The 27,994-nt window shown below is 48.2% G+C and overlaps 1 protein-coding gene and 1 long non-coding RNA gene across 6 annotated transcripts in view; one reads left to right on the top strand and one right to left on the bottom strand.

The window, feature by feature from the left end:
• Positions 1 to 445: 445 nt before the first annotated feature.
• On the top strand, positions 446 to 27,101 carry RAB7B (RAB7B, member RAS oncogene family). 4 transcript variants are annotated; one of them, NM_001164522.3, is made up of 6 exons: positions 446 to 588; positions 9,690 to 9,758; positions 10,295 to 10,421; positions 11,146 to 11,361; positions 18,176 to 18,301; positions 24,913 to 27,101. In NM_001164522.3, exons 2-6 carry the CDS (start codon positions 9,706 to 9,708, stop codon positions 24,988 to 24,990), a joined length of 600 nt encoding a protein of 199 aa, NP_001157994.1. In that variant the 5' UTR covers positions 446 to 588; positions 9,690 to 9,705; the 3' UTR covers positions 24,991 to 27,101. The 4 variants fall into 4 exon arrangements, with proteins under 4 accessions (NP_001157994.1, XP_006711351.1, NP_001291768.1 ...); XM_006711288.5 differs by lacking the exon at positions 24,913 to 27,101 and adding an exon at positions 19,637 to 20,098; NM_001304839.2 differs by lacking the exon at positions 18,176 to 18,301.
• Positions 25,746 to 27,994, bottom strand: part of SLC26A9-AS1 (SLC26A9 and RAB7B antisense RNA 1) — a 43,183-nt gene continuing 40,934 nt past the window's right edge. For both annotated transcript variants that reach the window (NR_110984.1, NR_110983.1), the window contains exon 4: positions 25,746 to 27,822. This is a non-coding gene — a long non-coding RNA (SLC26A9 and RAB7B antisense RNA 1). The remainder of the gene's footprint in view (positions 27,823 to 27,994) is intronic.

Below are 27,994 nucleotides of genomic sequence, written 5' to 3'. Positions count from 1 at the left end.
GTGTATACAGGTACTGGGATAAGGGCAAAGCATAAGGACCAGAACCTCTTCCTACCAGGCTGGTGGTAGGACTGAATCTTCTACCCATGTGTATCTAAAACCTCAACGAAAACAAAAGGGCCCCTTTACTGGGTGGCTTCCAGCAGCAGAAGCAGAAGTTTCTAAAGCCAACCAGAGGCTCTTTATGGGGCCCACAAATGGGACATGTTACCCTGCAGGCCCCCTGACCCATAGCTCCCATCCTCATCACCATGGGCCACGGTTCCTATAAATGAAATTCTTGAAGGGCCCAAATCCAGTCAGCTCTGGAGCCTAGCTTTTCCATTCCACTCCACCCCCTCCACCCACACAGCTGAGGTCACCCGGCCCAGCCTCTTTTGCAACTTTCCCAAGTCTGTGCACGAGAGGGAGAGGAGGAAAACTCAGAGGGAAGTGGCGTGGCTTCAACAGACTTTCTTTTGCCTGTCTTTGTCCCAGAGCCTCTTCCCTGGCCCTGCTGAGACCACTGCTCTAAGAAGAGACCACCAGACTGAGAGAGGACTCCCAGCTGCCCTCAGAGCGGAGGCCGAGTGCTGCACAGCCACAGCTGTAAGTGCCCCGGGAGCTTGTCTCAGTGCTTCTGTCTGCCCCTGCAGCCCTGGGAGTTATTTGGGTATTTGGGTGGAGGAGTGGAGGCAGGGAATGCAAGGATGAGATTTCCAATCTGGCAGCTGCAGAGTTTAAATCCAGCCCTAAGACCCCACCCTGGAGAAGCTCCCAGGGTGTGGCAGCAAGAAAAGACTTCCCTGCCTGTGCGAAGAGCTGAGGCCCAGCTCGGAGACCCACAAAGGCCATCAGTCCCAGGACGCAGCTGCTGGCCCAGTCAGGAGAGGATGGCGCTGCTGCCTCAAACCTGCAGGACCTGCCAGAAACTAGAGCCCTGCATGAGGGCAAAACCCTGCTGGCACCCAGAGTCCCCTTGTGACATTGACAGAGTGCCTTCTGGGATGGAATTGTGTTGGCCTAAGGGTCTCATCAGGGGAAGCTTGGCCCCTGGAGTAGGAAATTATCACTCCTGTTCTAAATCATAAATATTTCTCCTTGCCCAGTGCTGCAATGCCAGGGGAGCCAATGAATAGAGTCGGACGGATCTGGGTTCTATACCCAGTTCTTGACCCAGGTATCCATTGGGCTTCAGTGGCATTTTGTAAACTGCAAGTGCTCTATAATTGCTAGGTATTATGTATTAATACAAATAATTTCTTTGGGCTTACAGATCAATCTCCCACCACAAAGGTCCCACGGAGATAGTAACTTGTCTGTATCTTTAGACCTACACAGTGCTGGGGCTTAGTAAGCATGCACTGCCTGTGCCAGACAGATGAACAGATGGATGGATGAGTGGATGGATGGCTGTTCATGGAAACCTCTAGAATCCCAGCATTGGTCAGGCTCTTTAGTGGGATACAGAGAGGTGTGAGGCACAGCCCTGCCCTTCAGGCATGGACAGTCTACTCAAGGAGACAAGATCCTCAAATAACCTAAAGAACAAGAGCGCCAAGCCTCCTGAAACCAGGGCTGTAGGTACACTTCCCAGAGGGAGCAGGTCTAGACCTGCTAGGGTTGAGGTGGGTAAGGCGGAATTGTGAACATTACTGGGAGGCAACAAAGCCTTGTGCTCTCTACATAGCCTCTTTTCACAGACAAATTTTGCTTCCAAGATTGTAGGTCCCATTATTTTTTAGGGTGGATATATTTGTCCTTTTCCAAGGTATGGGATCAGGAGGGGAGGTGCTGAAAGTGGACAAGAGCCTGGAAAGATAGTATGATGGGGGCGGGAGACTCTGTCTGCTTCAGAATCCTTACCTGCCCCTGCTCACTCGTCTCCTGTCAGCAGAAGTGATACCCCACCCAATGCAGATGCGACAGAAGATTGTACCTGGTTTCAGGTTGGAGCCAGCGGGGTAAGGAGAGAAAGGAAGTGAGAAATGAGAGGGAAGGGGGTTCCAGCGTTCTTGGAGGGCTGGTGCCAGGCACTGGGGCTTGGCAACAGCTCAGTCCTTCTTACTCCACAGGGGCTGAGCTACACTGTAGCTTTGGCAAATGGGCAGGACCAGGACTCCAGGCTTAGAAGTGCTGCCAGACAAGAAGGGGAAAGAGCTGGGGACCTCCAGTGGGGAGTCAGTCACCGCAAGTTCTGCTCTGTGTGGACCGGGGCTGGCTGAAGGCAGAGTCCTGCATTTCAATCCTGCTTTTCACTGTTACTTAACAGTAGAGGATGACTCAGCCTAGCCTCTAGGAGGATTCCTTGGTTTGAAGCATCTGAGTCAGCTGAGTGGGTGGAATGAGGCTTAGTGACAACACTACACTTTTTACAGATAAAGGATAAAATGGAAATATTATGAACAACTTATTCCTATACATTTCACAGCTGAGATGAAATAGAAAAATTCCTTAATGATACACATTACCAAAGTTATCTCAAAAAGAAATAGATAAGCTGTATAGTCCTACGCTTCTTTAAAAATTGAATTCATAGTTAAAAAGTTTCTAATAAAAAACTTCAATTCTAAAAAAAAAAAAAGACGGCTACTGCCAAAGCCCAGCAGAGATGACATGGAAAGGGACTCCAACCACTGTATGAGATCTGCGTGTGCCTCCTAGGTGAGCCAGGCTGCGTCACCCCACAAACCGCCCCCACTTCCCACGGACCTGGTCCCAGTCACTCTTTGTTGCTCCTAGTGAGGCTGGGCCCAAGGACTGGGCTCTTATAAAATAGCAGCCTCAGCAAACTCCTGCCCTTCTAGGATAGGGTAGGGGAACCTGCAGTAGCAGCACACCCTGAGTGAGCATCTAGGGGAAAGGAACCAGGGAGGGGGTGGAATGTGGGAGCCCAAAGTTAAGGCCGAGGTAACTTACCAGGATCTTGAGCACTTTTTGTGTGGCCCTCAGGAGAAATACTCCTAGGAGCGGGAGGCAGCTCCATGGGGCAGGTCTGGCTCTACCTTTCATGGATGTGGAAGAGATGACTCAAGCACAGGGTGGTGCTTGGCATAAATGACCTTTGAAGTCCTTGCAGGAGTGTGCTGGAGCAGGCTCCACGCTGGTAGCTTGAAGTCAGCCATGGTGGAAGTGTTTACACCATAGGAAGTGGCAAGCATGACCAACCAGGGCCCTGGCCTCTAGACTCACCCCCTCTCCCAGCTGGTAAACAATTATCTGGATCCTTCCCAACTTGGGGACCAGTGCTGTGTTATAAGATCATGACACATGTCACCTGCAGAGGAAGCCACAGCCACGAGTGATGTCCATTTTACCCATGAGGGAACAGACGCCCCAAGGTTCAGTAACCCATCCAAGGCCACAAATGTGTGGAGCCAGGATGAGAATTCTGAGTCCCAAACTCATGATCACTCCATGGCACCAGACATCCTCACTCTCTTGCTCACAGAAGTAATTTGTCCTATCTGAAAATCACGCTCAAATTGCTTTGGGCTGCCATCCACACATCTTTTTAAAGAAATGTTAAGTGATTATTTGATATTCTTAAATTACAAAACAACTTAGGCTTGTGTAACAAATTTTAAAACAAAACATATATAACATAAAATGATAGCTCTTAGCCTCTAATCTACCTTTCCCATCCCTCTTATGAATCATTTAGTGTATATCTCCCCTTAGCTTTCTTATCACACTATATAAAACGTTCAGTGATTTTCTTTTTTCTTACTTAAAGCCATCACGTGTAGCTTCCCACTTCATTATTTCATCTTTTTAAAACTGCCCTTGGCCAGGCGTGGTGGCTCACACCTGTAATGCCAACATTTTGAGAGGCCTAGGTGGGAGGATCACTTGAAGCCAGGAGTTTGATACCAACTGGGGCTACAAAGCATGATCCTGTCTCTACAAAAAATGAAAAATAAAAAATCTGCCTGGCATGGTGGCATACACCTGTAGTCCCAGCTACCTGGGAGGTTGAGGGGGGAGGATCACTTCAGCCCAGGAATTTGAGGTGGCAGGGAGCTATGATCATGCCACTGCACTCCAGCCTGGGCAAAAGAATGAGGCCCTGTCTCTAAATAGACAGATAAATAAATAAATAATAAAACAGCTAATTGTTCCAGAGTATTAATGGATCAGAATTGATGTAGAGAGTGTCATATTGATGGACAGTTAGATTACCCCAATGCTTTAGTAATCATCTGTACAAATATGTGTTTGAGCATATGCATGAGTATTTCTGTAGGACAGATTCCTAGAATGAGAACCTAGGCTGTGTGCATATTACGTTTTGATATTGTCCAATTACCTTCCAAAAAGACTGTGCTAATTCATACTCTATCAACAATATATAAGAGTGTTTCCCTAACACACTTGCCAACCCTAAATATTGTTGTCAATCTTTTTAAAATTTTGCCACTCTACTGGGTGAAAATAAATGGTATTTTGAAATGTTAATTTCCTTGATAGTTAGTAAGGTTGAGTATCTTTTCAAAGCTTACTAATTCTTTATAAGATTTCAATTGGTAACTTGTTCACGTTCTTTGCCCATTTTTGATAGGTGTGTTGCCTTTTATTATCTGTATGAGTGCCTTACACATTGTGCATAGCGACCTGTTATATGTCTCACACACACCTTCTACCTTCCTCGTCCTGCCCCAGCTTTCCCTTCCTAAGCACGCCGCTGGCCTCCCTGCATCAAACCCTCACCCATCCAGCCCCTGAGCTCTCTAACAGGGGCACTATGGAGCAAGGCGTGTGAGTCTCATTCTAGTTTTACAGACAGTAGAACCCAGTAGTTAAGAGAGCTGGCTCTGGGGTTAGGCCTGGACTCCAATCCCAGCTTCAAACCCTGCTCTAACACGTGCGGGCTTTCTGTCTTTAAGGCTGAACTGCTTAACTGCTCTAAACATCTGTTTCTTCAATGGTAAAACAGATAATAATAGTATCAATCTCACAGGCTATCTTTGTGTGCAATAAAATAGCTAGCATTTCTTGAGTCCTTAATTTGTGCCAGTAAATGTATCACAATATGCTATGAATATTGTATTCTATGTGTTCAATGTATTATAATAACGTATTGTTTACCCCTGACAATGCTATTGTGTATTTGTGTATTCACAAAGCCCTCAGCACAGTGCCCACCAAACAAATGTTAGCTTGTAACGTGAGACGTACTCCAGCCCTGCTGCATGGTCGTGTGACAGCGTGTGAAAGCATTGCCCTCTGCCTAGCATGCCGCGTCTCTGACCCTGTGGCCAGTCCTCACACATAGCTCCTGTTGGGCAGCTCCAGTTCTCTCCACCCCCACTGTATCTCTCTGCCACTTTGGCAGCCTTTCTCTGCCTCCTCCAACTCTCCTAGGGTTTTGTTGAAATTCACCAAATCTGAGCCCAGTGCCCTAGATTCCTGTGCACACAGATTCCATGGGTTCAAACTCTGGTGATTAGGAGGCATGACACAGGAAAGCCTTCTCAGCATTTTTTGTTTGTTTATTTGTTTGTTTGAGACCGAGTCTTGCTCTGTCACCCAAGCTGGAGGGCAGTGGCATGATCTCGGCTCACTGCAACCTCTGCCTCCCGGGTTCAAGTGATTCTCCTGCCTCAGCCTCCTAAGTAGCTGGGATTACAGGTGTGAGCCAACAAGCCTGGCTCATTTTTTTGTATTTTTAATAGAGATGGGGTTTCACCATGTTGACCAGGCTGGTCTCGAACTCCTGACCTCATGATCCGCCCACCTTGGCCTCCCAAAGTGCTGGGATTACAGGCTTGAGACACGGCACCCAGCCTGCCTTCTCAGCCTTTGATTCAAACACTAGCTCTTCCATTTACTCCCTGTGCAGGCTTGGGTGAGTTGTGATTACTCAGCTTCTTGGAGCTTGGTTGTACTTGTCTCAGAGGGTAATAGTGAAGATGGCCTGCCCTCGGTAGAATACTTAGCACAGCCCACTGCAGGGGCTCAGCCAGTGCTGCCTCTTCTCCCGCTTCTTCCTGCCTGCCTTTGGTTCTGACTCTCTTTCTAAGGCATTGTGTTGCTTTTTAAAGCTAAGTTAGCACGTTGTATCAATGCCTTTAGGAAACAGCTTCCCTTTGCTCCTAGGACCCTTCCAAAGTGATAACAAATACTTCGAGAGCCATGCTTTTTCAGGGGTTTCTGAACCATTTCTCTCTTGGCTGATTTCCCTCGTGGACAGCAGCATCCATTACAAAATGCCAGCCCAGGTTCAAGCCTTGAATTGCCTTCTTTGTTGGAATATAGGAAATGTTTGCTGAGTGAATGAATGAATGAATGAATGAGTCAGTGCCAGGATCTTTGGTCAGATATTTACAGCCCGTCTTAATCTTGCTTCCTTTCCAGCCTTTCCTCCCTTTACACCTTTCACCTCACCCTTCCCTGAAGCAAATCGCCCACTTTCCCCATTCATCTCTTCCCAAGGCTTTGGTTATTTCATTCCCTCCCCAACCACATGCTTCATTTCTTCAGGACCTAGTTCTGCTGAATTCTCAAGCACTTTCCCTGTGCCTCTCCTGCGGTGCTGTGTACTTTCTCTCTGGTGTCATCACTCAGCCACTGTCCTTTCTTCCTTGGTGACTCCGTGTGGTGGGTTCCTATTTGCTCCATCTCTGTGCTGTTCCCAGTGTCTAGTGCAAGGCTTTGCATGTGGTAGGCATGTAGGCATTTGCTGCATGAACGTGTGAACCATCAAGAAGACCCATTTCTCACCATGCCAACCCAGCATTCCTGGGTTAGAGCAGAAGTTCCAGTGCCACCAACTCCAGGTCCTAGGACAAACAGCTCTGAGTAGAGCTTCAAATCGCCTTTGGTCTATGATATGGTTTGGCTGTGTCCCCACCCAAAATCTCATCTTGAATTGTAATCTGAATTGTAATTCCCATGTGTTGGGGAAGAGACCTTGTGGGAGGTGATTAGATCATGGGAGTGGTTTCCCCATGCTGTTCTTATAATAGTGAGTGAGTTCTCAGAAGATCTGATGGTTTTATAAGGGGCTTTTCCTCACTTTGCTCTACACTTCTCTCCCCTGCTGCCATGTAAAGAAGGATGTGTTTACTTCCCCATCCACCCATGACTGTAAGTTTCCTGAGGCCTCCCCAGCCATGCGGAACCAATTAAACCTCTTTCCTTCATAAATTACCCAGTCTCAGGCAGTTCTTTATAGCATGAGAACAGATGAATACAGTCCATGACATGGTTCATGAAGGGGACACTAACAATCCTAAATCTCTGGGGGCTTCCCATTTTAACTTTGTGTCCCAAGCACAGCTCTCATGGCCAATGAGGTCCAGCTCCAGCAGATAAAGCATTTTTCACCAAGAAGGCATCTTGAGTCTTTGGGGCTCAGCTGGCTCATTCTCCAGTTGGAAAGCCAAGACTCAGAGAGGGGAAGTAACTGGCCCAAGGTCACAAAGTGAGAACCAGAACCAAGGCCTCAGGATGTCCTATTTACAGCTTTTTCCAAGTAGCAGGGGAAACACAAGCTGACCAACTTTTGACACCTCATCTGAGCAGAGTCAAGTCAAGGTTTACTCAGCATGCTTAGTGCATCCAAAGACAAAAGAACCAGGAATTGGGGATAGTGCATATGCATATGTGCATATATGGGTGAAACAAAGGGCCAGTTAAGCATGTATCCTACAACAGTTTTGCTTTACCTTGTTAAACACACACACACACACACACACACACACACACACACACACTATACATTTACATTTCTCTTATAGGAACAAGACATATTTATTGTAAAAAAAAAAAAGAATGTATTAAAAAGCATAGAGAAAAAAATTAAAATAATGTAATTTCCTACCAACCAGAATAACTTACATTTTTTAATTGACAGATAAAAATTGTACACACTTACCATGTACAACCTGTTGTTTTGAAATATGCACACATTGTGGAATGGCTAAATTGAGGTAATTAACATCTGCATTACCTCACATGCTTATTTTTTAGTAGTGAGAACACTTAATATAAACTCTATTAGGAATTTTCAAGAATACAATACATTGTTGTTAACTATAGTCACCATGCTGTATAATATATCTCTTGAATTTACTCCTAGCTAACTGAAATTTTTTATCCTCTAACATCTCCCCAACTGCCCACCCAGCCCAGCTCCTGGTAACCACCATTCTATTCTCTACTTCTACGAGTTCAATTTTTTTAGATTCCACATATAAGTGAGATCATATGGTATTTGTCTCTTTGCCTGGGTTATTTCACTTAACATAAGGTCCTCCAGGTTTACCCATGTTGTCATAAATTGTAAGTTTTTTTTTAAAGCTGAACAGTATCCGTTGTGTACATGTACCGATTTTCTTTACCCATTCATCCATTGATGGACACTTAGGTTGATTCCATATCTTGGCTACTGTGAACAAAGCTGCAGTGAACCTGGGAGTGTAGACATCTCTTCAACATACTGATTTCATTTCCTTTGTCTATATATCCTGTAGTGGAATTGCTGGAATTTTTAATATATTTCCTTCCAGGCGTTTTTCTATACAAGTGGGAACTCATTTAAGTGTTGGGTGGTATTGTGTGTACAGTTTACCATCTTCTGTTGTTTTTTTTTAAGTTATTATTATACTTTAAGTTCTAGGGTACATGTGCACAACATGCAGGTTTATTACATATGTACACATGCACCATGTTGTTGTGCTGCACCCATTAACTCATCATTTACATTAGGTATATCTCCTAATGCTATCCCACCCCCTGCCCCCACCCCGTGACAGGCCCCGGTGTGTGATGTTCCCCTTCCTGTGTCCAAGTGTTCTCACTGTTCAATTACGATCTATGAGTGAGAACATGCAGTGTTTGGTTTTTGTTCCTTGCAATAGTTTGCTGAGAATGTACCATCTTCTGTTTTCTATTTAGATCTTAAGGGATCCTAGGATCCTATTTAGATCCTAGGGCATGAGCATTTTCCCATATTATTGTAATATTCTCAAAAACTCCATTTAATGACTGCTTAATAATTCATTGTGTGCTATGATTTAACCACTGCTTTAGTGTTGGATGTTTATAAACAGTACAGTGAAGAACATTCTTGGACAAGAGTCTTTACCCACATTTCGGATAATTTCTTTAGGACAAATTCCTAGAAGTGGAGGGCAGGAACATTTTTAAGGCTCTCAACACTTGCTGCCAATAGCTTTCCAGAAACATGTATGAATTACACCCCCGCCAGCTGCATTAGAGAGGAGCCTTTTGATTCTGCAGTTGCAGCTAGACCTCGGGCTGGGGGAGGGGCACTCTTCCATCCAAAGCCTCTGGGCAGTCGTGACAATGGAACCCTTGTCCTGCCCACCCCCATCTCTTCTTCCTGCATGCCCCTCCATCCCTGGCTCCAGGCTGGGCTGTCTGCGAGGCCTCTGTTTAATCCTGTCCTGCCTTCTTGGCACTCCAGGCTGCCTCCAAGAGCAGGGTTGGTAGAGCTGAGGGATGAGAGATTTGCCTGTCCTGGAGAGTCACCACCCTTCCAGCTTTGGGGAGGCCCCCAGGGAAAGTGAGGGAGAAGATATATGAAGATTGCTGAATTACGTGCCTCCTTCGGAGAACCCCACCCAGTCCCGGGCCCAGGGCAGTAACTTGCCCATTGGAAAGGGGAAAGCAGAGGCCACACTCAGTGACAATGGCCACAAGGAACATTGGCTAGCATGTGGATGACCTCTGTTTCCTTACAGGCTCTGAAGCCCTTCCATGAATCCCCGGAAGAAGGTGGACCTGAAACTCATTATCGTCGGAGCCATTGGGTAAGCCAAGCTCAGCTCTGGGAGTTGGGAAGCAGCCCCTCACCCAAGGACAGTGAGACCTCCTGATGTGTTCCCATCTCCCATAGGTCCCTTTCTGATTCAGGGTGACACCAGCAACTGTATCCCATCCCCAGAAAAGAAGCTTAGTTGGGACAAAGAAGCTGCATGTAAACAGATGGTTTCCAGTCCTAGATCTGCAGTGACTCTGCAGTAACCAGCTGTGTGAATTAGGCAAGCCATTTAGCATCTATCTGTCCTCCCATGTCCTACACACACAGAAAAAACCTGACCACCACTGTGAGATATTCCACCGTCTCCAGACTACTCTGCTCACTTTGATTGGCTTCTACTTCTAGAAACCATTTCCTACTCCCTTGCTATTCAAAGTGTGGTCCATGGACCACAGAAATTTGAAATTCAGAATCTCAGGGAGAGACAGTGGCAAGAGGGGCCTGGGAAGATTCTGAGAATGGTAGGGAAGCATGTGCATGTGTGTTTGCATGTGTGTGTTCACATGTGTCTGGAATTTTCCTCAGTGTGGGAAAGACCTCCCTCCTTCACCAATATGTGCACAAGACGTTTTATGAGGAATACCAGACCACACTGGGGGCCAGCATCCTCTCCAAGATTATCATATTGGGTGACACAACTTTGAAGTTACAGGTGAGCAGCCCTCCTTTTCCCTCTTCAACATACATACACTGAAAATCCCCCCCAAGCCCGGACAGCCACTCATGTAGCAATGTGAACCAGAGCTAGAATGGTCTAGAGCAGAGATGAGCAAACTTCAGCTCATGGGCCAAATCTGATCCACCTCCTATTTTTGTAAATAAGACTTCACTGGGGCACAGCCATAACCATTGGTTAGCTTATCAAGTTATGCAGTACAATGGCAGAGTTGAGTAATAATTGGCATATAGAGACAGAATGACCTGCAAAGCCTAAAATATTTACTATCTGTTATTTATAGAAAAAAAAATGCTGATGCCTGATCTAGAAGGAAGGACATTAATCCAGGAGTTGAGAGACCCCACGCCTAGTCTCAGGTTCTCTGGAAAACCTGGCAGGTGATCTTAGGCAAGACATTCCCGAGGTCCAAGTTTCCATATCTGTCAGATGGGAATAACAATTGCCACCTTGATGACCCAGAGGAAAAATGAGAGCTCAGATGTGAAATTACTCTCAGGATGTTAAATGTTACCACAAAGGTGCTGGAGTGTATGTGGGTGGGAGGGTCAACGTGCCACGGTGTGAAAGAACCATATGCACCTGTACCAGGGCCTGCTGCTCCCTACCCAGCAAAAGAAGCCTTGACATGATGTAATCCAGCTGGGCCTCCTTCCAGCCATTCATCACAGCCCCATGGGGCAACTGCTTTCCCCTCCAGATCTGGGACACGGGCGGTCAGGAGCGGTTCCGCTCCATGGTGTCCACGTTCTACAAGGGCTCCGATGGCTGCATCCTAGCTTTTGATGTCACCGACCTGGAGTCTTTTGAAGCCCTGGATATCTGGCGGGGTGATGTCCTGGCCAAGATTGTCCCCATGGAGCAGTCCTACCCCATGGTGTTGTTGGGGAACAAGATCGATCTGGCAGACCGGAAGGTACTGTTCGTTCATTTATTCATTCAACAAACATTATATGAGCACCCACTATGTGCCAGGCACAGTGTTAGGTCCCACACATACAGAGCTGAATCAGGCATAGTCCTTACTTCAGGAATTTCACAGTCTAGTAGTAGATACAGACATTTTAAAAGGTAATTATAAAATAAAATGGTAATTATGGTACAATACGGTAAATGAAATAATAGAGATATACCTTGGGCATTAAGGAACCACAATAGAGAGGCATCTACCCAAGCCTAGAATATAGGACAGGTTTGCTGGAAGAGCTGGGTTCTGGGCTGAATAAACAGCATGATATAAGCTGAGAACTAAAGGTAATTTTGTCCAGAGACAGGGAAAGGAGGAGTTAAGGCATCAGATGTAGGCAGGAGGGAGGTCACAGTGGAATTTGAATTAATCTGTGGCACAGCATTTCTGCCTGGGGTCAAGTTGGAGGTCTGCAGTTATAAATTCTTGGATATACAAGTTTTCTGGGGAAGTAATAATTTTTGTATTAGCTTAAGCATATTCCGGACCATCGGGTTAACCACTTGACAGTTGGTCTGCTCCATGACTACAGTGACCCCACTTGTGTAGGCGTTTACCATTACACGGCATTGAGAAGACAGCACTTCTAATCCTTGCCTACTAATGAGGAAAGAATACGGTAGACTGAATTTGTAAAAGATGCTCTTGGGCCAAAAGTCCAGATGCCACCAAAAAGAGCTGTTTAAACCAAGTTTCTCTTTTTAGTGTGATGGGGAACTGGATCATCATGTCTGAATTGCATTTTCACAATGGTTCAAATAGAGAAAAGCAATGGAAATGAGGCATCATTTGGCATGATAAAGTGTGTTTATGGAAGGAGAAAGGGAGAGAGGGATGGTGCTTCCAACTGAGCTAACATCTACAGAAGAGAGCCTCTGGTTCATAAAGACACATTTTTGGTTTGGACATGGCGAGTTTGAGGAGCTTGTACAGCTAGTTGGAAATGGCCAGCAGGCTTTGGAATGCGTAAGAATGAAATTTCAAAGGAGAAGTCTGTGCTGGAAATAGAGATCTACGAGTCATCGGTTCTGTGGTCACTTCAGGTTGTAAACTCCATGTCAATTCTCTAATTACAAATATCCAGCCTCAGATAATAAGCAAAGTCCTAAGTTCATTCAAAGGCAAGGTGTCTCCATTTTTTCCCCCACTGGGACCAGCTGTGGGTGAGAACCTTGTGGTCTAAGAGAGGGAATAGGTCCTTAGAATCTCACTGCCAACCTTGAGGTCCACACTTCCTCCTCTTATCTGGGATAGTAATTCTGGTTTCAGACCCTGTCAGGAGTGAAGCAGGAAGAGGGAGAAGAGGTCAGGAGAGCAGAGCAATTCTAATTTGGCTTGTACTATCATAAGACAGTCTTGGCCGGGCACAGTGGCTCACGCCTGTAATCCCAGCACTTTGGGAGGCAGAGGCAGGCGAATCATGAGGTCTGGAGTTCGAGACCAGACTGGCCAACATGGTGAAACCCCGCCTCTACTAAAAATACGTGGTGGTGGGCATCTGTAATCCCAGCTACTCAGGAGGATGAGGCAGGAGAATCGCTTGAACCTGGGAGGCGGAAGTTGCAGTGAGCCGCGATCGCACCACTGCACTCCAGCCTGGGCAACAATGCGAGACTTCATCTCAAAAAAAAAAAAAAGAAAGAAAGAAAAAGACAGTCTTGCACTCTCTGGCCTGAGAGGTGTTGCAAGCCCTTTCTTCTGTGGGTCACTCCTGTGGGTCCTTCGGAAGCCTCCACTGGGAACATTTCGCTGTACCTCCCATGACAAGGGTCTTGCATTCTCCTCCTCAACCCCTGGCTTTCAGCATCCCCACCCCATGGGGGTCACCTTTTCCTCCAAGCAGTCTTTAAGTGGGATTTAGCCAGCCCCAGCCTGTTGCTCTCTCTCTCTCTCTCTGTTGAATCCACATGTCCTTCACAAGGCACACTCATGCATTCTGGCTCCACTGGGGGACAAGGGTAGCTGGTGCCCAGTGCAGCCTCTTCTCTCTCTGCCCCGTTGACTGTTGCCTCAGATACCTCAGGTGTGTGTCAGACACCAGTCCACCATGTCCACCAAACTCCAGGGGTTGTACATTAACGACTCTCCTCAATACCATCTTTTAGCTAGAGATGAGTCCTTAACTGTTCCTCCTCTTGGGAGAGGCAAGGGTAGTTGTGCCCACAACACAACTCTCTCCAAGGAAATCCCTCCTAATCCTCATTTTCAAGCGCTTTATATCCACGCTGTGGGATTTAGAGTCATCCAAGAGAGTCTTGATCATGAGCCTTTGGGAATATGTATCCAGGGTAGACTGTCTCCACCTGCTTTATATCTGACATCTGTCCAGTTGTTGCGCCTCTGCCAAAACTTTCATTTTAACTTCCATCTTGTTTCATGTCTGTAGGGTGTGGGGAGGGAAGCTGGGGGAGTTCAAGACCGAGAGTCAGTGAAATAAGTGGTGCCATCTTCTGTTGAGAGGGAGGAAACCAATACGAGGCTTAAGAAACATGAGGAAGCTTTGCCAGTTACTCTTGGGAGAAGTGGGAGGAGGAGCTACTTGGGGACAAGGACAAGTTCTGATGGGTGACACCAAGGACTCCGCTGAAGGAGGAGACTGGGAGTTTGAGGTGGGGTCTCCGTAGGGTACCAGCCAGGAGCAAGGAACTTGGACTAGGGCTTTTCCAACCAAGAGAAGATGAAGGACAGAGCTGCGAGGGCACCAAGAAACCACGAAGGAAAGAAGAGGGACCAGGGGAGGCAGAAGGGCCAGGGCTGGGGTGGCGGAGGCTGGGGAACAGGGCAGCAGGAGGAAGGGCCTGAGGGGGTTGAGGGAAAGGAGATCGGGGCACAGGAGACCAGGTTTCTTATTTTACAGAGGCCCTGAGAGGAAGAGGCTGACATGGAGAGATTGAGGGCAGCAAAGGATTTCTGAGGCTACCATGAGAGGTGGCGGCTGCGTATAGAGGGGTTAGGAGGCCTCACCAGATGGCAAGTGTTTAGTGAATGAGGGGCACCTGGCAAGGTGAGGAGGGCGGGTGGTGACTCGCGGGAGTAGAGGGGGTCCAATCCAAGCCCCAGGGTGGGTGATCTTTGGTGTCCAGAGAGAGGAAGAACAAAGGTTTGAAAGAGGCAATGAGGCACCAGGCAAGCCAGCCCCCTCTCTGGGATCTGTGGTGAGTAAAGTCTGCAAATAGCCCCAGTGGGGAAGGCAAGAGGGGGCGCTGGGGAAGCGTGACTCTAGGAAAAGCCAGGGTTCAGCCAGACAGGGAGGTCCCTGGAGAGGATGGAGGAGGGGTGAGGAGAGGATGGAGGAGAGGATGGAGGAGAGGGGAGCCTGTCTCTCAACAAGGTAGGCCCAGGGAAGGGGTTTGTAGGGAGGTGGAATAGGATAGGGGAGGGGAGGAGGCACTGAGCGACAGTGAAATCAGGACAGGACGTGGAGAGGATGAGGTGTGTGGGAGAGAGCAGAAGGGCTTTAATTCTGAGACCTGGGATTATAAAGCCCCAAGAGGGGAGGCTGGGAAGTGCCGGCCCTCAAATGTCCTTACTCTGCACAGACCTAGCAAGGGCTCTGCCTGCCCCTGGCCGGGTGTGGACATGGAGAAGGGGAGCCAAGAGGTACGTTCTTGTGAGGCGCCTTCTCCTCGGAGCCCGTCCCGCAGATGTGGACTCACAGCCGCCCACCTGGTCCATGTGCCTCCGCAGCCTGGACCGGTTCCCTCCTCTGCGGGGCGGAGACCAGAACACAGACTTCCTGAGACTGAGTAATAATAGGAAGGATGTGATTTCCATAATGGAAATAATGGAACAAGGAAATGATCCTCCTTATTATTATCTCCAAGGGACAGCTGGGAAAATACAGCAGCTTCTCCTACCTAATAAGAAGAAAATGAGTATATAAAAATGTACTGCAGTTTGGCCCAGTGGCTCACGCCTGTAATCCCAACACCTTGGGAGACCAAAGTCGGGGGATAGCTTGAGCCCAGGAGTTCGAGACCATCCTGGGCAACATGTCAAGACCCCATCTCTACAAAAGAAAAAAATTTTTTTTAATTAGCCAGGTGTGGTGGCACACCTGTAGTCTGAACTACTCGGAAGGCTGAGCTGGGAGGATCGCTTGAACACGGGAGGGAGAGGCTGCAGTGAGCCAAGATCACACCACTGTGCTCCAGCCTGGGCGACAGAGCAAGACACTAAAAGAAAAAAAAAAAAAAAACCCACACACACATACATACATCATATATACACACATATACATACATATATATACACACATATTTATAATATATATTGCTAGTTTAGGAAGGTGAGAAAATTCTGAAGATGAATAGCAAGGAATGTACAATGTGAATACAATATGAATGTACCGAATGCCCATGAACTGTATGCTTAAAAATGGTTACAATGAGCCAGGTACATTTTATCTGTAATCCCAGCACTATGGGAGGCTGAGGTGGGAGAATCACTTGAGGTCAGGAGTTCAAGACCAACCTGGGCAGCATAGTGAGACCCCCATCTCTCCAAAAACAAAACAAAACAAAAATTTTTTTAAAAAGTGTTTAATTTAAAAATGGTAAATTTTATTAGGTATATTTACCACAGTAAAAACAGGCATATATAGCCAGAATAATTTTAAAGAAATTACTGATTTAGTTTAAAAAAAAATCCCTGTTCCTTCTACAGAAGGTAATATTGAAAAAAAATAGTTTATTAGAAAGAATAGCTTTGCTGGCATCTATGCTACAAGGAATTTATTCACTGGGGCATGAATTATTTGCTCTGTGCTCAGGTGGGTAATTTCTGATTTGCCAGTGATTCCGTAGACTTAAGATCATGTTTTCTAAAAATATCCTTTGTTATTCTTAGTGATGGTTTAATGGTTTAGTAATTAACGTTAGTAATACTAATTTTAGCACTTGTATAATTGATTATTTTAAAAGCACATGAGATGGAAAAGCATCATAAATAAAATGATGCCAACTGGACTAATTTTGTCAAATGTTTGGCCTCCAATGAACAAGTAAAATTGCAACCAGAAAAGTGAAATGTCAGTAGTATATTGTTGACCAAAAGCAACATTAATGCAAGTAACACTTTCAGAATTATCATACTTCCCATGTCCCCAACTATCACACCCTGAGCTTATTTTCAGAGTCAGAGCCTAAGTTATAAATAATTTTCATTTTATAAACAAAAGATGAGACAATTTTAAAAATCATGAAACTGTCTCTGGGATTGGAAGAGAAAAGTGAAAAATACTGTCTGGGTAGCTTTCTTCCCAGGCCAGCTTTCTGAGGTTGGGGTGGGGAGGAGGGGGAGATATAAAAAGAATGTTAATTTGCAACATAATCACAATGATATTTCAGAGTCTGTATGCAATCATTCCAAACCAAACAGAGAGCAGGGAAAAATGAGATTAAAAAGTCTGTCATAACCGGGCACTTGGGTAGATCTGGTCATGGTAAGTCAGAGGAAAGGGTCTGCTGAGATCAGCTGGGACTTTTTATCCCAGTAAGACAGACATTCCCAGGACCTGCAGGAGCCACAGAGACAATTAAACAGGGGCAGTGTTTGATTTGCCTCGGCCTGCACTGTGTTCTGGGAGAGGGGTGGAATGGTCCTTTCTCCATGAGAAAGACCTTGGCTCCCCTAAATAAACTGAAATAATGATTATAAAGTACCAGGCTCAGCAAATGCTCAGTATGTGGTCATTTCCCCTTCCCCAAATAATTAGACATCAAACTCAGGGGTACCAATTGTCTTTGGAAGTAACCCAGAGGGCTTCCAGAGCATTTCCAAGCCAACATCACAAATTGAACGCCGTTTGCACTTGGGTGGAGATGTAGTCATTCAGCCTGTGCCTGGTGGCTCATGTGTGCCAGACCAGGAGCTGAGCTCCTGACCCTGAGCTCCCGAAGGGAGACAGAAAAGGAGAGGCATGGTTCTTATGCAGTGCCCTGTAGAGGGCAGCTCAGATGCCAGGGGGAGCACTGAGCTGGGGCTACATCCAAGCTCTGCCTTCTCTCAGCTATGTGATCTGGGGCAAGTTGCTGAACCTCTCTGAACCTCAGTGTTTTTGTCTATAAAGTGGAACTGATAATGCCTATCTCACAGGGTCATGGAGAGGATGAGATGAGTTCATATATGATAAAGTGACTAACACAGCAACTGGCCCATAGTAGGAGCTTATTAATTGTTCCTAGGACCCTGCCCTGGGGAAGCAAGGTCAGCTGAGACCCGAGTCTCTGCCCAGCAACAGGCCTCCTGAGTGTGAGCCTGCTTAGCTGGGCTGGGGAAGAAAGTCCTCCCTTCCTGCCATTCCTGGCTGGTGTCTCTCATGTGCAGCTCTCTTTGAAGGGACTGACAAAAGAGGCAATGTTGGCAGAAGCTCTTAGTTTAGGCCTTAGGAAGGCAACAAAGTGCAGTGGGCTGTAATTCCGCCAGGCCTGTGTTCAAATCCTGCTCAGCCTCACATACTCTGGGCAAGTTTTTTTTCTCCAGGCCTCCGTTTTTTCATCTGTGAAATGGAGCTAACAGTTCCCACCTCCTACATTTATATGTAAAGTTAGAGACACTTGGGAGGTTCTCAATAAATGGGAGTGGTGGTGGGCCTGGTGGGGATGGTGGGCCTGGTGGGCCTGGTGGGGATGGTGGGCCTGGTGGGGATGATGGGGATGGTGGGGATGGTGGGCCTGATGGGGATGGTGGGGATGTGATGGTGGCAATGGTGGTGATGGCGATGATAATACAGACACCACGCCTATTTCTTTCCCTCATTCAGGTACCCCAGGAAGTAGCTCAAGGCTGGTGTAGAGAGAAAGATATTCCTTACTTTGAAGTCAGTGCCAAGAATGACATCAATGTGGTGCAAGCGTTTGAGATGCTGGCCAGTAGGGCTCTGTCGAGGGTGAGTGGCTGTGGCGGCAGGACCTGCTGAGACCGCCCCTGGATTGGGGAGGGTCTCGGGAGCTTCCAGAGAAGAACATCTTGGGTGTGGGCAGGGATGTGGGTGGGACAGGATTGCTCATCGTCTCAGTTAATTAGTTATGGAATGGGTTTAACAGCACTCCAGCTCTGGAACCACAGAATGCCAGAGGTAGAAAGCTACCTTAGAGCATGCAGTCAGTGGTCTGTCAATCCAGCTAACTAACCAAATCCCTCGTGGAGTATCTAAAAACTCCAGTCCTGTACCTGAGCCCTGGAGATCCTAACGAGGAAGGGTTTGAGAAGTGATGGTCTAGTCCAATCTTCATTGGTGGGAGGTGCCAGGCATTCACCCAAGTGAAATATCAAACCTGTACGAGTTGCTGACATCTCCCAATCAAAAAGATGAATAGACGTAGACCCCTAGGTACGAAGGTTCGGCAAGAATGTGTTGAGTGTGTGGCAGGCACTGTACAGGCCTCAGGACCCTCTGTCTCAAGAGGCAGGCAGATAGGCCCCTAAGTGATTGCAATACAGTGTGGTCTGGTGGGGCAGGACTTAGGGGTAGGGTCTAGAGGAGGGGCTCACAGACAGCCCATGCTGCAGGGAAGGAGAGGGGGCTGGGAGGAGGCAGGGAGGAGGGAGAGGGAAGAAGGGAGTGGGAGAAGGGAGCAGTTTAGGTTGATGGCCAGGTTTCCAGCTTTGCAAATGAAGGGACAATGGATTAGTGATTCCATGAGCCAAGCAAGACAGGGAAAAAAGGAGAAAGCAGGGGCTTCATGACAGAAAGGGGCAATGACATTCATGTAAGCACATTGCGTTCAAGGTTCCTTGAGACACCAGGTAGAAAAGTCTGAATTCTGCAAGGAGGTGGGGAAGACCATGGAAGGCTGCCTGGAAGCAGTGGCGTGGTTTTAACGTCAGTCTGATGTGGAGTTTGGAAGCCCTGGGATTGGCATGGGGAGGGGCTCAGCTTGTGTCATCATTCTGCCACATCTCATCAACATGGGCCTTTTAGGAGAGGGGAAAGGATCATCGCAGCAATGGTTCTGAATTGAGGAAATGGGCAAATGAGGGTGGGGGACTGGAAGCTTCCCTTATGTGGAAGCATCCGCCGCCCTCATGGGATGCCCTCTGCAGCTGCTCTGGAAAGAAGTGCTCCAGGCCCCAGCGAGGGGTTGTCCCAGAGAGAAAGAGGCAGCAGCTACCTCTAGCGGCTGCTCAGGGAGAAGAGCCCAGCTAGGCATCCTCAGGCCTCACAGCCCTGATCTTAGGGTTCCCCCGACCCTCACTGGCTCTTGTTCTGCTTCTCCTCCAGCCCTCACTGTCTCGGGAAAGGAAAAGCAGAGAGGTGTCCCTCTCTTAGTGCTTGGTCAAGAAGTGTGGCTTTATTACATGGGCGGTGTAGTTGGCTCCTGAAGCACAGGCGTGCCTGCTCTTGCTGTCCTCCTGGAGTGCTGAGGAATGCTGTTTGACCTTGGTGGTGATATTGATCAATAATCCTCCACAAGCACAGTGCAGCGACTGCCAAATGCTTAGTCACCAGGAAGTGTCCATCAGCCCACAGCCCGTGTCTGTGCATGCTTAGCACCTGTCCTATCTGGGGAAGGAGTATCCTTTATTCTTCAAATGGTGTCCTTCCTACTATATTGTGGTTAAATCAGGTCCTTCTGACTGTGTCGCTGTTATGACATGGTGCTGTTAGTAGACAGTGGCTTGTCTGCTTGCATTTTTTTTATAACACCCTTTCTTGGCAAAAGAATAAATGGGTAGCAATCCATGTCGGTCCCCCATGTTTATGGGGCATGTGCACTGATCAGAAGTCTGGAGGTCACAGGTGTGGTACCTGTGATCAGACTGGCCTGGATTTGAATCCTCCCCTGGTTCTCTCAAGTGGACCCCTTGGCAAGACATATGACTATTCTGAGCTTCCATTTCCTCTCTATAAAATGAAAATAATTTGAGTCCATAAATATCCATTGAGTTGTCAGGCTAGAGCTGGAGACACAGCCCTCAGAGCACTTGAGGTCAGTAGAGTGAGACATCCATAAGTGACTGTCCCGGAGTGACATGAGTGCTGTGGGGGGTGTGATTAAGATGACAAGGTGACTCCCAGACAGCTGGTAGTGAGGATGAGTGAGGATGCCTGCTGGGAGAAGTGACATGTCAGAAAGTTTGGAAGGTAATTCACAGTTTGCAGGTGGAGATGGTAGGCCATGGTGGGTGTAAGCCGGAGGGGAAGAAGGGCAGAGAGAAGGCCAAGGCCAGAGACCCAGGCATGAGTTCCTGGGGCTTATAGGAGACACCTACTGTAGGTCATGTTGGCAAGAAGACACCTGGCGTGGAGGAATGTCAGAGCACGGGGACATAGTTAGTGATGAAGCCAGCAAGGCCACCAAGGCCTCGTGAACCCCGACTAGGAGTGCAGATGCCATACCACAGGCCCACGCCTTCCAGATGGTGCTGCTAGGCTGCCCGAGGTGCTCAGGAGCTCACCCAGGACCTTGAAACCCAACAGGGCACAACTTTCTGCAGTGTCTTTGTTACTTAGAAATTTGCAGGAGAAACGTTCACATAAAAACAAACACACTTAACTAGGGCATAGAATGTAAAATTCACATCAATTCTTAAGATGAAACAGAAGTTTACAAATACAGATTTTGAGGTCAAAGAAAAGTTTTCAGAGGCATTTCCTATAAGGAACTTGCCTTCCTTCCCAGGGAGATTGTGGGCTCATTTGCTCCAGCCCAGGGTGTTTTGAGAGGAGAATGTGGGAGGCGCTTCTATAATAAGGAGTGAGCCCCCAGCTGGGGTGGAAAGAGCTGGGCCTCTGAAGTCGGAACGATCTGGCTTTATACTCAGCTCTACCTCTCATTGTGTGTCCCTGAGCAAGTCATGAAGCCTCTCTAAGCCACCACTTCCCTAACTTTAAAGTACAGATAATAATATCTTCCCTATGAGGTTACTGTGAGGGTTAAATAAAATGCTATTGTAGTGCAGAGAGGGCATTACATGCTGTTTTAAAATGGAGCTGCATCATAGGGTTTTCAGCAAGGGAGCTTCGTGCTGCCGAGAGGATGAGCGCCATGGGTGATGATGAAGAGGCTACTGCAATAGTCCAGGTGTGAGAGGATAGAGCTGGCAAGGTGAGGGTGAATTAAAGAGACTTTGGAGGTAGAAACATCAGGAGCTGATGATGATCAAATGCAGGGAGAAAGGAACAGGAGCAGTTTAGGCTGATGACCAGGTTTCTAGCTTGGCAAATGAAGGGACAATGGATTAGTGATTCCATGAGCCAAGCAATACGGGGAACAAAGGAGAAAGCAGGAGCTTCATGAGAGAAAGGGATAATGACGTCCATGTGAGCACATTGCATTCAAGGATCCTCGAGACACCAGGTGGAAACGTCTGAGTTCTGCAAGTGAGCCTTGTAGTAAAGAGAGCAATATGTGAGGCACCTGCTGAGAGCAGAGTAGGTGTTCAGTTAACATACTGAAAGAGACCGGAGTAGGTGTTAACATTGTGAAAGAAACCAGAGTAGGTGTTCAGCTAACATTCTGAAAGAAACCAGAGTAGGTGTTCGGTTAACATTGTGAAGGAAATCACAGTAGGTTTTCAATTAACATTGTGAAAGAAATCAGAGTAGGTGTTCAGTTAATATTCTGAAAGAGACCACAGTAGGAGTTCAGTTAACATTGTGAAAGAAACCAGAGTAGGTGTTCAGTTAACATTCTGAAGGAGACCACAGTAGGTGTTCAGCTAACATTCTGAAAGAAACCAGAGTAGGTGTTCAGTTAACATTGTGAAGGAAATCACAGTAGGTGTTCAGTTAACATTGTGAAAGAAACCAGAGTAGGTGTTCAGTTAATATTCTGAAAGAGACCACAGTAGGTGTTCAGTTAACATTGTGAAAGAAACCAGAGTAGGTGTTCAGTTAACATTCTGAAAGAGACCACAGTAGGAGTTCAGTTAACATTGTGAAAGAAACCAGAGTAGGTGTTCAGTTAACATTGTGAAAGAAATCACAGTAGGTGTTCAGTTAACATTGTGAAAGAAATCAGAGTAGGTGTTCAGTTAATTATCTGAAAGAGACCAGAGTAGGTGTTCAGTTAACATTCTGAAAGAGAACAGAGTAGGTGTTCAGTTAACATTCTGAAAGGAAAGGTAGATTACTTTAGTAACCAATTTAGCCACATTCAAGGATTAGGTATTTAGTTGTTCCAAAATATGACGAAGGATGCCCTAATAATTAAAGAAGAGATATCCACCAGCTTTGGAAGATATGGGGTGGTGAGGTTTTGCTCCAGAAAGTTAGCAATGCTGGCTGGGCATGGTGGCTCACACCTGTAATCCCAGCATTTTGGGATTACATCCGGCAAGGCAGATGGATTGTTTGAGCCCATGAGTTCCAGACCAGCCTGGGTGAAACCCCATCTCTACTAAAAATATAAAAAACTAGGTGGGCATGGTGGCACATGCCTGTAGTCCCAGCTACTTGGGAGGCTAAGGTGGGAGGATCACCTGAGCCCAGGAAGTCAGGCCATGGTGAGCCATGATTGTGCCACTGCACTCCAGCCTGGGCCACAGGAGTGAGACCCTGTCAAAGAAAGGAAGAAAGGGGAAGGGGAAGCGGAGGAGGTGAAGGGGAAGGGGGAGGGGAAGGGGAGGAAAGGGGAGGGAAAGGGGGAGGGGAAGGGGAGGGAGGGGGAGGGGAAGGAAAAATTAGCAATACCATCCCTGCTGGGGCTTTTCAGGCCCAGCTCCAGTAGCATGAGATATTGCCTAGAGGCCCAGTTCTTTTGGGGTTAATTGGAAAAAGACAGAATCACCACATCCAGTGGAGGGAAGTGGGCTGGCTGGCAGCTGCTCAGTGAATCACAGCAGCTTTACATGGTCCTCAGGATGCAGGACTTAAGGCAAGGCCACTGAGGTGGCCAGACTGGGGGAACAGAGACAGACTCCCACAGTCACACCCCCACTGAAATGCTGCAAGCATTGGAATAGTGTTGTATTACTTGTACAGTTAGATTCACAAGTTGTCAAGAGGCCTGGGGCCTGGAGAACAGAATGACATAGAAACCTAATTATGGCCTGGAGGTTTTGCAGGAAATCTGAGGAACAAGATGCTGCCATTGTCAAGTGAAAATGATGTCATTAACGGAAAGAGCTCAGCGATGACTTGCACCCGGGGAGGGTGCAGATGTCATTAGGGCAACACTAGCATGAAAACCTCAGGCTTTGCCCATGCAACAAATGAGGACATTTCTCACACCTACCCCAGATGGTGCTCACTCTGCTAGTCCCAAGATCCTACCAGGGTGGGGGGTGAGAGATGGGGGATCCCCAAGAAACCAACTCCGTGACGAAGGGCTGGACCCAGGTTCAGCACCACAAGCTCTGTGCCATCGGGGTACATTACTGCTCAGTCTGGGGGTGGCAGTGAGTGATGGGGTGTCAGAGGATCTTCTTATGTATTTGGGGGCACCACCATCATCAAGGTGCAGGAGGCAAGGCTGGACACCACCTCCTGAGGTCTAGGGTCATGAGCATTAAGGATTTGGTGGATATTCACCAGCTGGGTGTCTGGCCTGAGCCTGGGAACTGCCGGGGAGATAAAATCAGAGACAAGGAGGCAGCACCCCTGTCCCTGGAAGTTGCCCCCTGAGAAGGACACTTGAGATGGACTGCCAGGGACAATTTTGCGTGATACACAGGATGCTCTGCCCCTGCTCAGGTCCATGCCAATGTAGCACAAACCCCTTCCACGTAGAGTGAATGCTCATCACTCACCCCGAGGCCCACAGTACTGGCTGTGGGAGGAACATGAACGCGATTGAGCTCTGTGACTAGCAGAGGCCATAGCAGCGTGAAGAGATGGGATCCCTTGAAGAAGAAAGTCTTCAGCCTGAGGAACCCATCTGCTTAAAGAAGGGCCCCCTCCTCCATACCACCCCAACCCCTGAACTGGGGAGGGGGGGCAGGCTCTTGGTGAGAAGTGGAGCCAGCTGGAAAGGCAGAAGCTTGGCAGACCGAGAAGGGGCTTCCTCTGGACCCTTGTTGGGACAAGAGAGACTGGAGAAGCAAAAGGGCCCGGGAGAAACATTGAGTCCATTTTAGGGAGGGCTGCCTGGATGTGGCCAGGACAGAGGACCGACTGGGCTTTTCTAGGCATGAGTAGGGGAGGCTGAGAGGTGGACAGGATGAAAAGGAGGTTGGGGGTATTGGGATATTTGCAGGAAGAGGTCTCCAGGAGAAATGAGGAGTGGCCGTCACCTCTCTGCCTAAGCCCAAATGACACCTCAGCTGTCCCCTCTGGAGAATGGAAAGTTATAGGACATGGCTGGAGGTCAGGAGACTTGGGCCGCTAATTCAGACACTGACCTGCTCTGGGCTCCTGGGAAGAGGCTGGAGGGGAGACACAGGGAAGAAGGAGGGTGGGGAACACCAGTGGCTTCCCTGTCTGGGCCTCAGTTTCCCAGAAGTATAATGGGGAGGAAACAAGAGCCCAGGCTCTGAGGCCCACTAAGAAATGAAGGGCGGGCGGTGCACTCTGTATCTCAGGACATGAATGCCGGCCTCTCTTTCCTTCCCCAGTACCAGAGCATCTTAGAAAATCACCTCACAGAATCCATCAAGCTCTCGCCAGACCAGTCAAGGAGCAGATGCTGCTGACCTCCAGACGCCTGCTCTGGAAGCCCAGAAACAGAGCCTGCCCCGAGCCTGGTCACCCCAGGCTTGAGAACAGGTGACCATCCCCCTCCAGCCCCACTGCCTGCCCAAGCACAGTGCAGGGGGCCTAAGCTCTGCGGCAGAGCCCTTGACCCTGGTGCTGGGCCCAGAGTCAGAGGGCAGCCCCTGGCTCAGGCTGAGTATAGTGAGAGCGTCTGGATGAAGCCCGGAATGTCAGAGCCAAACCCTGGTCCTGCAGAAGTCACCGTTTCCGCAGTGGCTCCAGCTTTCCCCACCCATCCACCCCTCAAACACTCCCGCTCCAGAACACACATCTCCGCAGACCGGCCACTGATTGGAGTCTGGTTACATCCTCCTGTGGACAGACCTTCCTCACCCGCTCCCACCTCACACCCCTCAGCCACAAGCAAAGCTTTGGACAATGGCACAGCTCAGCCTCCTTCAACGAGCAGACTAAGGAGTAAAGGTCTGGACCCCACATGCTGGGCCCGCCTCAGCTCCTGGCAGAAGCTGTCGTGCCTGAGACCCCCTCTGCTCCCTCCAGGGTAGAAGACTGAGGGAGCACAGGAGAAGCCACAAGGGACCATGGCTCATTCCTCCTTGCTGGGTGCTCAGGCAACTCACATAAATCTCTGAGTCTCAATTTGTTTATCTGTCCTGTGGGGGTGAGATGTGCCTTGCCCCCTGTATCACAGTGTGGTTTTGAGGACCAGAAGCTGTGCTTAAATCCAGTAGCTGTTGTCAATATGCATTTATTTACTTCTTTGACAAGTTTATTTTTGCGTATCTACTATGTACGATGCATTGAAGTCCAGTGACAAACAAAACACAGGGACTCTGCCCTCCTGGAGCCGACATCTGGTGAGGGAGAGACGCAGACTCTAGACAGATATTTCCAAATAGCAGGTAAGTGCTATAAACAAAGGGAAACAGGGTAATGGGATAGAGTGACAGGGGGTGGGATGAGTTGCTATTTTAGATGAAGTGGTCCAGGAGGGCTTCCCTGAGGAGGTGGCATTTGGTCTGAGGGCTAGAGAATGAGAAAGCAGCTGTCACCTGAGAGCTGGAGAAAGAACATTCCAGGGAGAGGGAGCATCAAGACCCAAAGCCCTGAGGCAAAAACAAGCTTGCCATGTTCCAGGAACAGTGAAAGGACATCCATTGACCTAATACTCAAAGCTGCTGTCCCAAAGACAAAGCAAAGGGGACCCAGCTCCCTTGGGTGGCTCCTAGATGCTCTGCTGCCTGACCACCAGAGGGCAGCAGTGCTCCTTCTCTTCCAGGCTGAGCAGAAAGTGGATGCTCATGAAGGTTTTAGGAGCTGGGGTTTTGTCCTTCAGATGCTCAAAGCTTGTTCATGGGCTTGGAGGCATGTTTAGCCCTTTGGGATTTGTAAGGCAGAGAATTCCAATTTCTTAAGCCTAGTAAGAAATGAGCAAAAACTTCAATATATATGACTCAGGCAAGAAATCAGCATCTGTGGCAAATACTAGAATGAAATGCAAGAAAGCTCACTGCAAGGAGTCTCCCTCCCTGCAGATTCCAAGGCTGGAATCTTTTTCTTCTGGCTCCAGGCAGCACAGACAGGGCCTAGCCTGGAGAGGGTGGACAAGATGTCCTCTCAGGGTCTTCAATGGCCAAGTCCATGCCCACTGCAGAATCTTTCTGTCTACCCGTAAGTATCCTTTCCTGAGTTCCAGGCAAAGCTGGGGATGTTAGCCTATGACTGTCATCTGACTTGGAAGGTACACCTAGGGGCCGGGGGGAGGTCAGCAGGGGAGTTTGGGAGCCACTTCTCCCCCCACGTGGCACTGGAGTGTGAACTGGCTCATTCTGGACACCAGCATGGAGCCAGCACGGGAACAGGGGGGCAGCCTAGAGCACAAGCTCTATCTGTGTCCTTCAGAGCTCCTGGGAAACATGATGCGCCCTCATGGGAATGGCATTTTGCATATCACACAGGCTGTCCTGGGAGTCAGGCAGACTGGATTGTCACGTGCGGTGTGCATGCAGCAGCTTGTGCACTGCAGTGGACCTGTGGACCATTTCTAAAGGTGCACAACAAATAATAAATGTGTCCTTCTTTGTTTTTATCTTTTGTGCGACTTAGATTTTATATTTTTAAAAATACATCTACGTGGTTCGATATGAAAAAGATACTAAAGGGCAGACAACTAAAAGTGAACTGAGACTGGCTACATAATTTACAGAACCCGGTGCAAAATGGAGATCCGGGTCTCTTGTTCAGACATTATTGAGTTTCAAGACAGCAACAACAGAGCCTACGATCAAGGATGGGCCCCACTGAGGGCAGGTCACTCATTCATGGAATCAATCCTTAGCAAACAATGAGTCTCAGACACACTGAAGCTAGAATGGAAAAGATTCTGAGTCTGCAAGAGGCAGAGCCACGCTCAGATTCAATAGGAGTTCCAAACCACACATTTTGCACCTTCTTCAGACTCAGGAGCCAGGACAGAATGTTCCAAATGCAGGGTGGGGATTGCAGGGGCTGAGAACCTGCAGCCTCTGTTCTGTCACAACCAGGGGACATCTCAACCCATCCCCCAGGCAGAGGAAACTGAGCCAACAATCAGGGCCACATAGAGGTCCTCCCTACGCACCACCCCCCATCCCACTCCCACCCTGCTCCCAAGTCTGGGACTGGCCCTCAGTGTCCACCCCAGCAGGTATAGGAATTGGCAGAGGGAGGCAGCATCTGGAGGCTGTGACTTCAGGCCGGGACAAGTGGCACCCACTGGAGCCTGGTTGGGGGTGTACAGGCAGCGCTTCTGGGGTCCTTCATCACCATCCCTGTAAAGAAGAGGGTCAGGATGAATAAGAGCACCCCATGCCCTGCACAGCCCCACTGCGAGGCACAGCTCCAGGCTGCCACTGAGCAACAGATAATCCAGGCCAGGGCTCTGGGTGGCACACGCCCTTGGGGCTTGGGAAAAAACAAAACCAAATCTTATCACCAAATAAA

This window comes from Homo sapiens, chromosome 1 (genome assembly GCF_000001405.40).
Source record: "Homo sapiens chromosome 1, GRCh38.p14 Primary Assembly".
Classification (NCBI taxonomy): domain Eukaryota; kingdom Metazoa; phylum Chordata; class Mammalia; order Primates; family Hominidae; genus Homo; species Homo sapiens.
The sequence above is the reverse complement of the archived record's forward strand: the minus strand, read 5'-3'. Positions and strand labels throughout refer to the sequence as shown.

What these genes read in the sequence shown, in the direction of transcription:
- RAB7B (NM_001164522.3), top strand. Translation starts at nt 9,706, where the DNA reads ATGAATCCCCGGAAGAAGGTGGACCTGAAACTCATTATCGTCGGAGCC. An exon ending in ACACAACTTTGAAGTTACAG is followed by an intron (nt 10,422 to 11,145) that starts GTGAGCAGCCCT and finishes TTTCCCCTCCAG; the next exon opens with ATCTGGGACACGGGCGGTCA. An exon ending in CCAGTAGGGCTCTGTCGAGG is followed by an intron (nt 18,302 to 24,912) that starts GTGAGTGGCTGT and finishes TTCCTTCCCCAG; the next exon opens with TACCAGAGCATCTTAGAAAA.